We start from the raw sequence: 18,049 nt of genomic DNA, 5'->3' as shown, positions 1-18,049 counted from the left end.
AAAGGAGCAAAAAACAGGAACATATAGATATACCTTTTTATTAAAAGGTGCTCAGCCTAACTTACAATTAAATAAATGGAAATTCCAACAATGAGACAATAAAAGTGTAAAAATCAGTAATTCACACTGTAAGCACATAGGAAATGCACTGCTGATGAGAGGAGAGTGGCTGTGATTTCCTTCAGGGGACTTGTGGCATTAACTCTCCAAAATAAAAATGCACATGTGTGGATCCAGCAATTATTCCTCTACTAGGGATTTACCCTACAGATATCCTTGAGGGCAAAATTTGATGAACATTACTAAAATATTGCTTAGAATACCATGAGATTAGGGCCAGGTGCGGTGGCTCACACCTGTAATCCCAGCACTTTGGGAGGCCAAGGTGGGAGGATCACTTGAGGCCAGGAGTTCGAGACCAGCCTGGTCAACATAGCAAGATCTATCTCTTAAAAAAAAAAAAAGCCTGAAATTAGAAACAATTCAAATAAAATTTCAACAAGAGACTGGCTAAGTATGTTCCAGAATGGGGATTAATATACTTTTTCTTGATGGGCCAATAATAAGTATTTTAGGTTTTATGGTCAAGAAACAAGATAAAGGTTATATATGTACTGCTTAAAATGCAATAATTTAAAAATTATAAAACCACTTTCAGCTTAGGTACAAAAACAGGCAATGGGCCAGCTTTGTTCTGTGGGCTGTAGAATGAAGACCAATCTAGAATACCCGCATAATAGAATGCTATCGAGGGCACAATGAAGTATCTCAAAATATTGATTGTAAGGGAAAATCCCAATACATATATTTTTAAAAGCAAAGGATAGAGCAGGATACAAAATCAACATGCAAAAATCAGTTGTGTTTCTATGCATTAACAATGAACAAGTGTCAGAACACAGTGGCTCACACCTGTAATTCCAGCACTTTGGGAGGCCAAGGCGGGTGGATTGAGGTCAGGACTTCAAGACCATCCTGGCCAACATGGTGAAACCTCGTCTTTATTAAAGATACAAAAAAAATTAGCCAAGCGTGGTGGTGCATGCCTGTAGTCTCAGCTCAGGACTACTCGAGAGCTAAGTAGTAGCTTCAGGGGGCTGAAGCATGAGAATCACTTGATCCTAAGAGGCAGAGGTTGCAGTGAGCCCAGATCGTGCCACTGCACTCCAGCCTGGGCAACAGAATGAGAATTTGTCTCAAAGGAAAAACAAAACAAACCAAAAACCCAAAAAACCAACAATCTGAAAAGGAAATTTAGAAAACAATTTCATTTACAGCAGTATCAAAAAAAATAATAAAATGCTTAGGAATTAACCTAATACAGGAGGTGAAAGACTGGTACAATGAAGACTACAAAATATTTTGGAAGAAATTAAAGAAGACATAAATCAATAGAAAGACAACCCAGGTTCATAGATTGGAAAATGTAATATTGTGAAGACATCAGTACTTCCAAAAGCAGTCTACAGATTCAATGCAATCCCTGTTGAAATCCCAATGATAGTTTTTGCAGAAATAGAAAAAATCCATCTTTAATTCATATGGAATTTCAAGGGATGTCTAATAGCCAAAATAATCTTCAAAAAGAAGGACCAAAGCTGGTTTTAAAACTTACTACAAAGCTATAGTAGTGTGAACAGTATGGTACCAGCATAAAGACAGATATACAAACCTATAAACCAATGGAATAGAGAGCCCAGATTTAAACACTCACATATATGGTCAAACAATTTTTGACATGGATGCCAAGGCCATTCAATGGAGAGATGCCAGGAAAACCGGATATCTACATGCAAAAGTGTCAAATTAGATCTTTTTCTTATACCATATACAGGCATACCTCATTTTACTGCATTTCGCTTTACTGCACTTTGCATATATGGCATTCTTTGCAAATTGGAGATTTGTGGCAACTCTACATTAAGCAAATCTATCAGGGATGTGTTCCAACAGCATGTGCTCACTTCGTGTCTCTGTGTCACATTTTGGCAATTCTTGCAATATTTCAAACTTTTTCATTATTGTTATATCTGTTAATGGTGATTTATGATCAATGATATTTGATGTTACCATTGTTAATTGTTTTGAGGCACCTGATTACTCAACCAATAGGCCATTTCCCATCTCTCTGTACTCACGTCAGGCTTCCTTATTCCCTCAGACACAACAATACTGAAATCAGGCCATTCTGGATGCCATTTAGAACATCTGTGATTCTGGCTGGGCACGATGGCTCATGCCTGTAATCCCAGCATTTTGGGAAACCAAGGCGGGTGGATCACTCAAGGTCAGGAGTTCAAGACCAGCTTGGCCAACATGGTGAAACCGCATGTCTCTCCTAAAAATACAAAAATTAGCCGGGCGTGGTGGTGGGCACCTGTAATCCCAGCTATGAGGGCGGCTGAGGCATGAGAATCCCTTGAACCCAGAACGTGGAGGCTGCAGTGAGCCGAGATCGCGCCACTGCACTCCAGGCTAGGTGAGAGCAAGACTCAAAAAAAAAAAAAATCAAAAAAAAAAATCTGCGATTCATGGGAGGAGGTCAAAATATCAACATTCACAGGAGTTTGGAAGAAGTTGATTCCAAGCATCATGAAGGATTTTGAGCGGTTCAAGACTTCAGTGGAGGAAGCCACTGTGCATGTTGTGGAAACAGCAAGAGAACTAGAATTAGAAGAGGAGCCTGAAGATGTGACTGGGTTGCTGTAATTTCATCATAAAATTTGAACAAATGAAGAGTTGTTTCTTGTGGATGAGCAAAGAAAGTGGTTTTTCTTGAGATAGGATCTACTCCTGGTGAAGATGCTGTGAATTGTTGAAATAACAAAGGATTTGGAATCTTACATAAGCTTACTTGGGAAAACAGCAACAGGGTTTGAGGGGACTGATTCCAGTGTCGAAAGAAGTTTTACTGTGGGTAAAATGCTGCCAAATGCATCGCATGCTACAGAGAGATCTTTTGTGAAAGGAAGAGCCAATCAATGTGGCAAACTTCACTGTTGTCTTATTTTAAGAGATTGCACAGACACCCCAGACTTCAGCAACCACCACCCTAATCAGTCAGCAGCCATGAACATTGAAGCAAGACCACCAGCAAAAATAGTACAACTCACTGAAGCCTAAGACAATCATTAGCATTTTTTAGCAATAAGGTATTTTTTCATTAAGGTATTACATTTTCATTGTAATGCTATTGCACACTTAATAGACTACAGGGTAGTATAAACATAACTTTTATATACACTGGGAAACCAAAAACTTTTTGTCCCTGGCTTTATTTTAATATTCGCTTTATTAGAGTGGTCTGGAACCGAATCTGCTGTATCTCTCAGGTGTACCTGTACAAAAATTAAATCAAATTGATCAAAGGCCTGAATTTAAGGGCTAAAACTCTTAGAATAAAACATAGGGGGGAAGCTTCATGACATTAGATTTGGTAATGATTTAGTTGTTTGTGCTTCTGGACATGACATCAGGCTTGAGCCTGGGAGGCAGAAGTTGCAGTGAGCTGAGATCATACCACTGCACTCCAGCCTGGACAACACAGTGAGACCCTTTCTGTCTCAGGAAAGAAAAAAAGGAAGGAAGGAAGGAAAGAAATGGAAGCAAGAAAGAGAAAGAAAGGAAGGAAAGAAGGAAGGAAGGAAGGAGAAAGAAAGAAAGAAAAGAAATGGAAGCAAGAAAGAGAAAGAAAGGAAGGAAAGAAGGAAAAGAAAAAGTAGACGAATTGGGATTCATCAAAATTAAAAATTTATTTTTTTGGTTTTTTTAAATTCTTTTTTATTTCTTTTTATAGAGATGGGCATCTTGCTATGTTGACCAAGCTGGTCTTGAACCCTTGACCTCCCATCTCAGCCACCCAAAGTGCTGGGATTACAGGCATAAGCCACTAAACGCGGCCCAAAATTTAAAACTTCTGTGCATGAAAGTATGCTATCAACAGAGTGAAAAGACAACTGACAGAATGGGAGAAAATATTTGTAAACCATATATCTGACAAGGGATTAATGTCCAGAATATATAATAAATGCCTAAAACTCAAAAGCCAACCCAAGTAAAAAATGGATAAAAGATTTTAGTAAACATGTCTCTGAAGAAGATACACAAATAGCCACAATTAATACCTGAAACGATGCTTGACATTGCTAATCATTAGAGAAATTCAAATAAAAACCGCAAAGATGTATTACATCACACTGATTAGGATGACTACTAACAAAATACAAGTGTTGGTGAAGATGTGAGCAAATTAGATTTGTTCATTGTTGGTTGGTAGAAATGTAAAATGGTGCAGATGCTGTGGAAAACAGTATGGTGGCTCCTGAAAAAATTAAAGCTGGAATTACCATATGATTTCTGGATATGTACCCCGAAACTTGGAACCAGGAACTTGAATAGATATTCATACACCCCTGTTCACAGCACCATTATTCACAATAGCCACAAGGTATAAGCAGCTCAAGTGTTGATTGACAGGTGAATGGATAAATAAAATGTGTTATATACATGCAATAGAATATTACTCAGCCTGAAAAAAAAATGAAATTCGGATACATCCCACAACATGAATGAACCTCAAAGACATTATGCTAACTGAAATAAGGCAGATACAAAAGGACAAATATTGTGTGATTCTACTTATATGAGGTATGTAGTGGCAGAAAGTAAATTCTGCCACTAATTAATAGAGACAGAAAGAAAAACAGTGGTGGATGGAGTGGAGGGATTAGGAGTTATTGTTTAATGGGTACAGAGTTTCAGTTTGGAATGAAAGAGTTGTGGAGATAGTGATGAGAGTTTCACAAATGATGTAAATGTCCTTAATGCTATTGAATTTTACCCTTTAAAAATTATTAAAATGATATAGTTTATGTTATATATATTTTACCACAATAATAAAAATCTTGAAGTTTTTAAAAAAACAAGGGATAAAATAGCAAACTTCCATTTGCATAAATGAATATATGTGTGGCTGTGGCTGTGTGTGTGTACAAAAATATATATTTGGATGTATTCAGGAAATTTCTGAAGAATATGTGAGTAGTGACAGTAGGTTTCTGGTATGGCAGAGAGTATGAATTTTTCAATGAAAACACTAGATTTAGAGAGGAATATTTTTCATAATATGGTAAAGAATTTCAAATAGATCACCACAATGCCTTTTGCTGCACTGAACTTGTAATCTCTCTCTCAATTTGCTGATCCAGTCCATTACACATACACTACACCTACGAGTAGAGCTAACAGCCAGTTGGCACCTTTGTGTAATTAGAAAAAGACATGCATTCCTCTGGGTAGTTACAGCCCCACAGGCATGCAGCGTGGGGAGCAGAGAGGAAGACAGATGTCAGCCCCTACTTGTCCCTCAGCTGGGTGCATTTTGTAGTGCACAGTATGCACAAGTGTCGATGGTGACCCTGGCTGCAGCCACATTTTCCCTACACAATAAGGGTTATTATTCATAGACCAAGAAAGAACACATAGCACATGTTGTTAAAAATACAGCATTTTTCTTTTTTTTCTTTTTGAGACAGAGTGTCACTCCATCACCCAGGCTGGAGTGCAGTAGCATGATCTTGGCTCACTGCAACCTCCACCTCTTGCGTTCAAGTGATTCTCATGCCTCAGCCTTCCAAGTAGCTGGGATTCCAAGCATGTACCACGACGCCCAGCTAATTTTTGTATTTTTAGTAGAGACAGGGTTTCACCATGTTGGCCAGGTTGGTCTTGAACTCCTGGCCTCAAGTGATCTGCCTGCCTCGGCCTCCCAAAGTGCTAGGATTACAAACATGAGCCACTGTGCCTGGTTAAGAAATACAGCAATTTTTTTTTTTTGAGACAGAGTCTCGCTCTGTCACCCAGGCTGGAGTGCAGTGGTGCAATCTCAGATCACTGCAACCTCCGCCTCCCGGGTTCAAGTGATTCTCCTGCCTCAGCTTCCCTAATAGCTAGGACTACAGGCACATGCCACCACTCCTGGCTAATTTTTGTATTTTTAGTAGAGATGGGGTTTCACCATGTTGGCTAGGATGGTCTTGAACTCTTGACCTTGTGATCCATCCGCCTTGGCTTCCCAAAGTGCTGGGATTACAGGCGTGAGTCACTGTGCCTGGCCAGAAATACAGCATTCTTAAAAATAAAGGTTTATTTGAACTGTGGTATATATATGTGATGGAATACTACTCAGCCATAAAAAGGAATGAATTAATGGCATTCCCAGCAACTTTGATGGGATTGGAGACTATGATTCTAAGTGAAGTAACTCAGGAATGGAAAAACCAAACATCGTATGTTCTCACTCGTAAGTGGGAGCTAAGCTATGAGGACGCAAATGCATAATAATGATACAATAGACAGTGGGGACTCCAGGGGGAAAGGGTGGGAAGGGGGTGAGGGATAAAAGTCTACAAATTGGGTTCCGTGTACACTGCTCGGGTGGTGGGTGCACCAAAATCTCAGAAATCACCACGAAAGAACTTACTCATGGAACCAAACACCACCTGTTCCCCCCCAAAAAAACTATGGAAATACAAAATTTTTTTTTAAAAAAGACTAAAAGGCCGGGCACGGTGGCACGCACTTGTAGTCCCAGCTACTCGGGAGGCTGAAGCAGGGAGAATCGCTTGAACCCGAGAGGCAGAGGTTGCAGTGAGCCAAGATTGTGTCACTGCACTCCAGCCTGGGCGACGGAGCAAGACTCAGTCTCCAAAAAAAAAAAAAAAACAACTGAAAAAAAGGTTTCTTTGAGAAGTACACAGACAGTAGAAGTAGGAAATATTTAACTCTTCTCAGTAGTTACATGGATACAATAGAAATGGCGTCATCTACATTTCTGCTTAACCATTGGTTGCTATGATTTTCATAATCACAGTGACCTTTCTGGTTACCTGAGATTTGATCCTTTCTCTCAGAAGGTCCTAAGAGTTTATTTAGTAGAAAGAAATCCCTTCTTTCTTTTTTCTCCCCACCAATTTGGTGCCAGTAATGAAAGCCTGGTATTATGGGAAGTGGCCTCTCTGGACCTGGTCTGAGGATATCAATGCGTCAATGTTAGGCCAGAAGAAGTTACGTGATCAACATGACATCTGATTTCAGGTAAACAAAATTCACACCACTGACTAGTTTTTGTATTACTTTGTTTTTCAGAACAAAATACTGTATAAGCCACATTACCCCCATACAAAGAATTGTAATCATTTGTAATACTTATGAACTAGGTATTCATTTGTACAAATCTGGAAAGCCAAGATGACCTGGTAATGCTGAGTCAGAAAGGGGCAAAGCAAGAACAAAGGCTCAGTTACCTTGACAGCCGGTTTAGCCTTTCACAGACACACGGGTTTACGCTCTTAAATACACCAAGTTCATGATAAACACATGCTTTATAAAACCAGATCATTCTGAATCTTTGTTTTTTATTTTTTTTCCTGAGACGGAGTCTCTCTCTGTCGCCCAGGCCGGAGTGCAATGGCATGATCTCCGCTCACTGCAACGTCCGCCTCCCAGGTTCAAGTGATTATCCTGCCTCAGCCTTCTGAGTAGCTGAGATTACAGGTGGGTGCCGCCATGCCTGGCTAATTTTTGTATTTTTAGTAGAGACAGGGTTTCACCATGTTAGCCAGGCTGGTCCTCAGGTGATCTGCCACCTCGGCCTCCCAAAGTGCTGGGATTACAGGCGTGAGCCACCACGCCCAGCCCATTCTGAATCTTTTTTTTTTTTTTTTTGAGAGGGAGTCTTGCTCTGTTGCCCAGGCTGGAGTGCAGTGGCACAATCTTGGCTCACTGCAACCTCCGCTCACTGCAACCTCCGCCTCCTGGGTTCACGCCATTCTCCTGCCTCAGTCTCCCGAGTAGCTGGGACTACAGGCGCCCGCCACCACACCTGGCTAATTTTTTGTACTTTTAGTAGAGACGAGGTTTCACCGTGTTAGCTAGGATGGTCTCGATCTCCTGACCTCATGATCTGGCTGCCTCGGCCTCCCAAAGTGCTGGGATTACAGGTGTGAGCCACCACACCCGGCCATTCTGAATCTTTAAAAGTAAATCTTTTTCTATGGAATCTAAAATAGACCTGATTTCAAATGTATCCTTTTTTTGTTTGTTTTTTTTGAGACGGAGTCTCACTCTGTCGCCCACTGGCTTTCCAGATTTGTACAAATGAATACCTAGTTCATAAGAATTACAAATAATTACAGTTCTTTGTATGGGGTAGTGTGGCTTATACAGTATTTTGTTCTGAAAAAGTTAAGTGCAGAGTGCACAGTGATCTCGGCTCACTGCAACCTCCATCTCCTGGGTTCAAGGGATTCTCCTGCCTCAGTCTCCAGAGTAGCTAGGACTGCAGGTGCCTGCCACCATGTCCAGCTGGTTTTTATATTTTTAGTAGAGACAGGGTTTCATAATGTTGGCTAGGCTCCTGACCTCAGGTGATCTGCCTCCCTCGCCCTTCCAAACTGCTGGGATTACAGGTGTGAGACACTGCACTGAGCGTCAAATGTATTCTTGCTTTTAAAAAGAACAGTTTTAGGCTCACAGAAAAGTTGCAGATAGTAGAGTTCTCCTTTACCCCCAATATCAACATCTGGTATAACCACATTAAAATTAAGAAATGTACATTCTTGTTTGATTATTTACTATAAAAAATTTTTTTCTAGGCTGGGCGCGGTGGCTCACGCCTGTAATCCCAGCACTTTTGGAGGCCAAGGCGGGCGGATCACAAGGTCAGGAGATCGAGACCATCCTGGCTAACACAGTGAAACCCCGTCTCTACTAAAAACACAAAAAATTAGCTGGGCGTGGTGGCGGGTGCCTGTAGTCCCAGTTGATGGCGGGGGTGGGGGGGTGGGGAAGAGGGAAGGGGGTGCTAAGGAAGGAGAATGGCGTGAACCTGGGAGGCGGAGCTTGCACTGAGCCGAGATCGCCCTACTGCACTCCAGCCTGGGTGATGGAGAGAGTCTCAAGTCTCAAAAAAAAAAAAAAAAAAAAAAAAAAAAATTCTAAATGGACATGGGTACTATACTATTAACATAGCTGCAGACTTTATTTGGGCTTCAACAGTTTTCCCACTATCACATATAGATGTCATGTCTCCTTAATCTCCTAAAACCTGTGACAGTCCCTCAGTCTTCCCTTGTCATTCATGACTTTGCCACTGTTGAAAAGTACTGGTCACTGATTTCGTAGAATATCTCTCAACGTGGGTGTGTCTCGGCGTTAGATGGAGTCTATTCATTTTGGGCAGGAAACCACAGGTGGCATTGTTCCTTCTCCCTGCATCCTACTGAGGGAACATCATGTTGATGTATCTTCTTACTGGTGATGGCATTGTGTCCGGAATTGGTGGGTTCTTGGTCTCACTGACTTTAAGAATGAAGCCGCGGACCCTCGTGGTGAGTGCTACAGTTCTTAAAGGCGGCGTGTCCAGAGTTTGTTCCTTCTGATGTTCGGATGTGTTCGTAGTTTCTTCCTTCTGGTGGGTTCGTGGTCTCGCTGGCTCAGGAGTGAAGCTGCAGCCCTTCGCAGTGAGTGTTACAGCTCTTAAGGGCGCGCGTCTGGAGTTGTTCGCTCCCCCCGGTGGGTTTGCGATCTCGCTGGCTTCAGGGGTGAAGCTGCAGACCTTCACGGCGTATGTTACAGCTCATAAAGGTAGTGCAGACCCAAAGAGTGAGCAGCAGCAGCAGGATTTGCGAAAAGCGAAAGAACAAAGCTTCCACAGCGTGGAAGGAGACCCGAGCAGGTTGCCACTGCTGGCTCTGGCAGCCTGCTTTTATTCTCTTATCTGGCCCTACCCACATCCTGCTGATTGGTCCATTTTACAGAGAGCCCAGTGGTCTGTTTTGACAGGGTGCTGATTGGTGCATTTACAATCCCTGAGCTAGACACAAAGGTTCTCCACGTCCCCACTAGATTAGCTAGATACAGAGTGTCCATACAAAGGTTCTCCAAGTCCCCACCCGAATAGCTAGATACAGAGTGTTGATTGGTGCATTCACAAACCCTGAGCTAGACACAGGGTGCTGATTGGTGCATTCACAAACCTTGAGCTAGATACAGAGTGCCCATTGGTGTATTTACAATCCCTTGGCTAGACATAAAAGTTCTCCAAGTCCCCACCAGACTCAGGAGCCCAGCTGGCTTCACCCAGTGGATCCAGCACCAGGGCAGCAGGTGGAGCTGCCTGCCAGTCCCGCGCCGTGCGCCTGCACTCCTCAGCCCTTGGGTGGTCGATGGGACTGGGCGCTGTGGAGCGGGGGGCCACGCTCGTCGGGGAGGCTCAGGCCGCACAGGAGCCCACGGAGGAGGAGGAGGCTCAGGCATGGTGGACTGCAGGTCCTGAGCCCTGCCCCGCAGGGAGGCAGCTAAGGCCCGGTGAGAAATCGAGCGCAGTGCCGGTGGGCCGGCACTGCTGGGGGACCCAACATACCCTCCGCAGCCATTGGCCTGGGTTCTAAGCCCCTCATTGCCCGGAGCCGGCAGCGCCGACTGGCTGCTCCAAGTGCGGGGCCCGCCAAGCCCACGCCCACCCGGAACTCCAGCTGGCCCGCCAGCACCGTGCGCAGCCCTGGTTCCAGCTCGCGTCTCTCCCTCCACACTCCCCTGCAAGCTGAGGGAGCCAGCTCTGGCCTTGGCCAGCCCAGAAAGGGGCTCCCACAGTGCAGTGGCGGGCTGAAGGGCTCCTCAAGCAGGGCCAGAGTGGGTGCCAAGGCCGAGGAGGCACCCAGAGCGAGCGAGGGCTGTGAGGGCTGCCAGCACGCTGTCACTTCTCAGTATCTTTGATCACCTAGTTAAGGTGGTGTCTCTTGGATTTGCCTGCTCTGAAATTACTATATTTCTCTTTGTAATTAATAAACATTTTGGGGGACATACTTGAGTCTGCAAATATCCTGTTTGTCCTCAAACTTTTGCTGAATAGTTTTAGAATTCATTGGTGAGTCCAACAATTATTATTGTGCTTTTCTCAGTGATTTTCTATTTTCCTCATTCCTTCTACACATAAGCAAAAGCTGCTCTTTCTTCCTTATTTATTTATTTACTGATTTTTAAAAACTTACTGGTATCAGTATGGACTCATGGATGTTTATTCTATGGTTATAATCCAACATTACTTTTTTTAAGTCTTAAATTGCTTCAGCTTTGGCCATTAGGAGCTCTTTCAGGTTGATTCCTGTGCCCTTTGACTGTCCTCACCCTTTTTTTCCTGGCATTTCCCTCCTTACTGGCACCATAAGGTGCCTCAGCTCTGGAATAGAAGCATCAATGATATTGCTGTCTAATTAATCATGAACAAAACAAATTATCACTATTGATCTCTACATGACAGAGCTAAAATAATGTCCCAGGCCTCTATGTCACCAACATTTAGAAACTCTGTAATTAGTTTAGATACTATGGTTTTATTTTACTCTTTTGTCCATTTAAGTAACACCTAGAACAATACATCACACGTGCTCAATACATACTTGTGAAATGAATGACTACTCTGTGCCAAACACTGTCTGAGCCCAGCACAGGAAAAACCCAGCACAGAGCTTGGCAAAGGAAAAACACCCTTCTGAGAATGCACGGTTCCTTCTGAAAATGCATAATCCATGCGAGCATTTTTCTTTCTTGGCCAGAGAAGAATTATCCATGTAGCTGGCTTGGGGTTTCTCTTCTTTTAGGATACTGGAGAAAACAGTTGGGGCACACGCCTGCTAACATCAGGTCCTATATAGCAGCTCTCAATTCCAGACCTTAGTGCAGACCCCAGAATGGGAAAGGTAAGCAAAAGAATGGCAGGACACGGGGGATTATGCCGAGAGTCAAATGTCACCACCTCTGAAGGGCTGCTGTGCCTGCTGGCCTAGCCAGAGCACCTTGCCCGCTGATTTTCCAGATGGTGGTTGTTGCTGTTTGTCCCTAGATCTGCTCAGTCTTAGCCTTGACACTGTTTAAATCTGGATGAAAAAGACAGCAAAGAAAACAAACTTAGGGCTTTCTTCTTTTTTTTCCCTGCCCCACCAGTGTTCCCTGGATAGTTTGGCCCCGGCATTCAGCCAAGAAAAACATCTGTGATTCAAGAATCATGACACAGCCAGGACCTGCCACCCTGCAGCTCAGAGGCTTTCTTTTCTTGCAGACAAGGGTGAAGAAGTTAGAGGTCAGTATACTCTCAGTCCTCAGGGGCTCCAGCCTGCAGCTCTGTATTGTCAGCTCGTCAGAGATGTGGGACAGGGCACACTCTCTGTGGGAGCCGGCAGGAAAACCAGGCTGTGCTCAACAACAAGAGAAACAAAGAAAGCACGAGGGCTGAGCTGAGAGAACCCTGCCATGAGTCAGCCTGGGGCTCCGAGGGGGCATAAGGCCAGGCTGATACACAGACACCGCCTACCCTCTGAGTCCCTGAAATGGATTTTTTTTGGGTCCTATTAGCCAATAGGAAGTTGCATACAAAGAACAAAAATTCCTAGGATCACCCATCAAATCAAGTTAAACCTGGGCTTTTGGTATACTGTCTTCCCAGCCACTGAGAGAGATTTCTGTAAAGAAAGCATTGTTTTGTTGTTTTGTTTATTTATTTAGAGACATGGTCTCTTGTGGGCAGCTGCTATGGGTTGAATTGTATTCCTCAAAAAACATATGTTGAAATCCTATCTCTAGTATCTCAGATTGTGAGCTTACTTGGAAATAGAATCTTTGCAGATTTAGCTAAGTTAAGATGGGGTCACTGGTACCCTTGTAAAAAAGGCAAATTTGAACATACATGCAGAGGGCAATGGTGTGGAGACACAGGGAGAACGCTGTGTGATTACAGAGGATCACGTGAAGCAGCTACTGCCCCAGAAAGACTAAGGCTTCCAGAAGCCGGGAGAGAGGCCTGGAGCATTTCCTTCCCTAGCACCCTCAGAGGGAGCACGGCTGTGCCAACACCTTGGGTTTTGGACTCCTGGCCTCCAGAACTGTGAGAAAACAAATTTCCATCGTTTTCGGCCACCCAGTTTGTTGTTATGGCAGCTCTAGAAAATGAACACAGCAGCAATGGACATAGGTTCACTGTAGTTTGTTGTAAAATTATTTTGAGAAGACAATTTTCAGGGTCTCTGAGGATTTCATAAAGGTTTTCTATTTCCCAAGCAAGTTCTCAGGAAACAGCCAGGGAGCCAGACACACATGCGTACAAATCTCAGCTTCGCCATTTATTATCTACTTGACGTTGGGCAAGATCCTAAGTCTCTCTAGAGCATTCTTCATCCTTCAAAGAAGGATATGAAACTCTCTTCCTAAGGCCATCTAAAGAGTGAATGAGGTCGTGTTTTTTAAATTGTTTATTGTGTGGCCTCACACATGGTGGCCCGTCAAGATGTTAGATTTCTTTCCTAACAAACATGAAAGAAGACCCTGCCCTGTAGCAGGCAAGCTGGGTGTTAGCTGAGAGTCTCCAACCTAATGTCTATTCAGCATAATAAATATTAATAAGTGCAGTAGACACTGCCAGGGCTCTGGCCAGACCCTTGCAGATCCCTTTAACTGTTTTGTCTGTACTCCCTTGAGTATGCACCCCACGACTCACACCAGAGACTCTTCTTGGAAGTCTTTTCTCGGGCTACTGGAGCCACTTTTTCCACACTCAGGTTGCTAGAAGTGCCTGTGAGTTTATATCCTCTATCTGGGGCAGTTCATGGCCAAAGTCTGAAGGATGCAGGCGTGTGACAGCCCACTTCCTTTGCTTGGAGTCAGGGAAACTCTGAGGCATAACTCACACTCCTGAGTTCCCCTGTAGGATCACGCTGGAGCCACAGGACTTTGCCTGAAAGCATACATTTGCTTTGCCCATCCCTACTTCCACATCAGCCTTCCTGTGAGCATGTCCTTAATGAGTCGCTTACATTCAACTCTGCAATTAAGAGTCTGCTTCTGGGGCACCTGACCCAAGGCAATAAGCTACTGAACATCTCCTGCTGAGATGCCACATGATATTGAAGTTCTGATGGTTAAAGCTAAAAAAACAACCTGACCAGACTGCATTCCAATCATTCACTATTTTAACAGCCATAATAATTATACTAGTAACCTCTCGTTCATGTGTCCAATACATGCATTACGTTCAATTCTAATCCTCATAACCAATGTATACATAGGTAGTTTTACCCTTGTAACAGTTTTTTTCAATGGCCACAAATTTTTTGATTCTCCTCCCATCAAGAGGTAAAGTGTAGGTCCCCTTCCCTTGAATCCCTTTACTTTTACAGAAATCTGCTCAATTTTGATAATGTGTCCCTCAGTTCCCAAGATGTGGCCATTCTAGGATATTCTTTCCCAAGTAAGGACATTCAGCCATGTGGGTTGGTTAACCTTAAATTGCATCTCTAATAGACAGTATATAGTTAGCTCTTACTTTTATAACTAGTTTGATAATCTCTGCCTTTTGACTATTTAGTCCATTTATATTTGATGTGATTATTAATATAGTTTGAGTTGCTGCTATTTTGCTATTTGCTTTTTTTTGTTTCATTTGATTTTTGCTTCTCAGTATCCCCTTTTTCTTGCGTTCTTATGGTTTCATAAAATATTTGATTAAATTTAAAATTTAGAATCTCAGATTTTCTAGGCAATTGCTCAGGTCAGTGAGCTTCAAACCCAGGATTGTGAAAACAGTTTAATTTCTCTGATAGCATGTTTTCTCTACTATCCATGATGATGTTTATGAAGTCAATATCAGGCTGAATTATATTCAATTGTCAGGTAAATAAAATCTTTAGAAGTTATTAATTTGGAGTTTACTGAAACAGGAATTTATGATTCTTCACTGTATGGAGATGTTTCCATATAATCTATGTAAAGGAGAAATTACACAGCATAAAATAAAAAACTGGCTAAACCTTAGAGAAGCCAGCCGGCAGGCAAGAAGAAATTCAGTAAGAATGGGAATTATCACTCACCTCATTGGTACAATATTTTTGGGGCTTATAAGTGCTCCCTACAATCAGATGGCACATCTGTGAAACATCTGATTTGGGGAAAAACTGACAAAAATGTTTGCTGATATTTCTTTAACCTATTTGTTTTATATAAAGTAAACTAAACTTTGTAGTCATGTCTCCCTGATCTGCTTGGATTTGTCTGCTCTGAAATTACTATATTTCTCTTTGTAATTAATAAACATTTTGGGGAACACACTTGAGTCTGCAAATATCCTGTTTTTCCTCAAACTTTTGCTGAATACTTTTAGAATTCATTGGTGAGTCCAACAATTATTACTGTGCTTTTCTCAGTGATTTTCTATTTTCCTCATTCCTTCTACACATATTAATTATAATTCTTCCATAAGCAAAAGCTGCCCTTTCTTCCTTATTTATTTATTTATTTACTGATTGGTATCTATTATATGGTGGCTGGGGCATTGCAAGCCTGTAAGTGTCTAACAAATATTAATTGATTTATATTTACAACCTTTGTTTCATTGCACAAAGTGTCACAGGCAAAAATTTAATTAATGTAGCTTGGCAATTGAAGACATGGGAAAGAAGACATGAAAAATAAGAGTAATTAACATTTGTTGGTTCCTGGCTATGTTCCCAGCAAGGTCCAATGAATGTCTATGAGATGGGGATAGATACATGGGCCCTCACAGGGAGGTTGTGAATATCAAATGGGAAAGTGCATATGAAAACTTTTTGAAAACTCTGAGTGGGGTAAATGCTCTGTCTTCAGTGGGGCCACCCAGAGCAGAGCCTCTCAAATAAATCAGATGCACAGGATAGACTGAGGGGATGCACTGAATGCACTCAGGAGAAACAGAGGGAGGGATGTTCTGTGTCTTCATTTCCTAACTTGCATTTTGAGGGAAAGTATCAAAAGTTATTATGCATTCAACAAACATTTTTTTTATTTTGTTTTGGCTTTTGGGGTTTTTTTTAGACACAGAGTCTCTGTCTGTCATTCAGGCTGGAATGCAGTGGTGCATTCATAGTTCATTGCAGCTTTGAATTCCTGGGCTCAAGCCATCCTCCCACCTTAGCCTCCTGAGTATGTGGGAGTACAGATGCACGCCACCACCACACCTGGCTAATTTTATTTATTTTTTTAACCACAAATAGATTTATTCCTCTAAAAACAGTATACCATCTTTCCAGTTTCAAAATGTTATTATCAATTGTCTGCAGATTACTTACTCTCATTAAGCTGATTTTTTTAAAACCCAGAGCAGAGCAATTTACCAGCACCATCAGTATCATCATCAAGCAAGCTGCAAATCTATCCTTTGCCAGAACAAGGAAACACTGAAGATCAACTCAAGAGAATAATAGCTTCAAGTGTTTACCGAAGGGGTACTCACATGCATTTGTCACACATTCCAGGGCCTCATCGTCCTCTTTTTTTGTTTTTGTTTCTGTTTTTTTGTTTTTTGTTTTTGAGACAGAGTCTCACTCTGTCGCACAGGCTGGAGTGCAGTGGTACAATCTCGGCTCACTGCAACCTCTGCCTCAAGCGATTTTCCTGCCTCAGACTCCTGAGTAGCTGGGATTACAGGCATGTGCCACCACACCTGGCTAATTTTTGTATTTTTCGTGGAGATGGAGTTTCACCATGTTGGCCAGGCTGGTCTCGAACTGCTAACCTCAAGTGATCCGCCCACCTCGGCCTCCCAAAGTGCTAGGTAATCACCCTCTTTTATAACATTGCTTAACTCCTAAACCAGTTTATTTTTATAGTCTGAAAACAAGAATCACCCACGTGCGATATTTCTTCAGAGCACGGTTGAAGATGGATCAAACATGGAGATCCTCCAGATCCCTGTTTTCAAATGGTATTTTACATTAGTACATGGAATATCCTTAGATATATTCTGTTATGTTCTAATGAGTTCGTGATTCCTTTTTGATGATGTCTTCAATTTCTTCTGAGACCTTTCCTGTACGGTCATTTGGTCCCACAGCTTTTAACTTCTTTTTGTACTCCAGTGGCAAACCATTTTCTTTTGCACCTATGCAAATAACCTTTTTATACTGTGGGGATGGGAAACACTCTTGTAATTTGTCATCAGATAATGTCGATAGGTTATTTCTCTTCTTGAGTTGAAACATTAACTTCCATGACAACATAAATTCCATCACTTCTTGCCTGCAGGCGGGCCATGTAGAAGAACACCACCGAGGGGTTTTGGAGGTGGATCTCTCAGTCAGCAGGTTGCTGTCGTAGGGGAAGCACAGAAAACTCTCCTCATCTGGGCCCGGATGTCCTTGCAGCCTGAGTTTGCCGTGTCCCACTAGATGCCTGCACGGGAGTCTGGAGCAGGGCTGTGAGGAGCCACCACAGAGCGCAGGACTGTGCCCGTGATCCTGGCCAGTGATGGCCACGCCGCCACCTTGGGTTTTGGGCAATTTTAAAATTTTTGTAGAGATGGGGCTCCACTATGTTGCCCATGCTGGTCTCAAACTCCTGGCCTCAAGTGATCCCACCTTGACCTCGCAAAGTGGGGGGATTACAGGCGTGAGCCACTGTGTTCAGCCTCAACAACAATCTTTTTTTTTGAGACAGGTCTCACTCTGTGGCCCAGGCTGGAGTGTGATGGGTCGATCTGGGTTCACTGGAACCTCTGCCACCAATTCCATCTTGTCTTATGACTCCTTGTGGGCCCTGTCCAGGGCTGGGGTCAAGCTGGCCCCTTAGAGAGTCAGAGGAGCGCACAGAGAGGGTGATGGAGAGTGACAGTCTGACACACGTGGCTATAGCACTCTGTGGGACCCCTAAACTTTTTGTTTGCTCTAGAAATCAGCTACCTGATGTAATGATTTTTTTTTTTTTTGAGATAGAGTCTTGCTTTGTTGCCCAGGCTGGAGTGCAGTGGTGCGATCACAGCTCACTGCAGGCTTGATCTCCTGGGCTCAAGAGATCCTCCTGCCTCGGCCTCCTGAGTAGCTGGGACTACAGGTGCATGCCATCACATCTGGCTAATTATTTTTTACTTTTAGTAGAGATGATGTCTCGCTATGTTGTGCAGGCTGGTCTCCAATGACTGAGTTCAAGCAATCCCCCACTTCAGCCCTCCAAAGTGTTGGGATTGTGGTGT

At 42.8% G+C, this 18,049-nt stretch overlaps 1 pseudogene, besides 1 other annotated feature; it reads right to left on the bottom strand.

The window, feature by feature from the left end:
- Positions 11,539-12,038: an enhancer, noted in NCBI's record as "H3K27ac hESC enhancer chr20:18205955-18206454 (GRCh37/hg19 assembly coordinates)". NCBI's record gives its function as "activates a minimal SCP1, AML or CMV promoter by ChIP-STARR-seq in primed H9 embryonic stem cells {active_cell/tissue: H9 hESC(primed)}" and the evidence as "EXISTENCE:reporter gene assay evidence [ECO:0000049][PMID:30033119]".
- Positions 16,087-17,289, bottom strand: GGCTP2 (GGCT pseudogene 2; annotated as a pseudogene).
- Positions 17,290-18,049: the final 760 nt, after the last annotated feature.

Source organism: Homo sapiens, chromosome 20, assembly GCF_000001405.40.
Source record: "Homo sapiens chromosome 20, GRCh38.p14 Primary Assembly".
In the NCBI taxonomy this organism is placed as follows: Eukaryota; Metazoa; Chordata; class Mammalia; order Primates; family Hominidae; genus Homo; species Homo sapiens.
The sequence above is the reverse complement of the archived record's forward strand: the minus strand, read 5'-3'. Positions and strand labels throughout refer to the sequence as shown.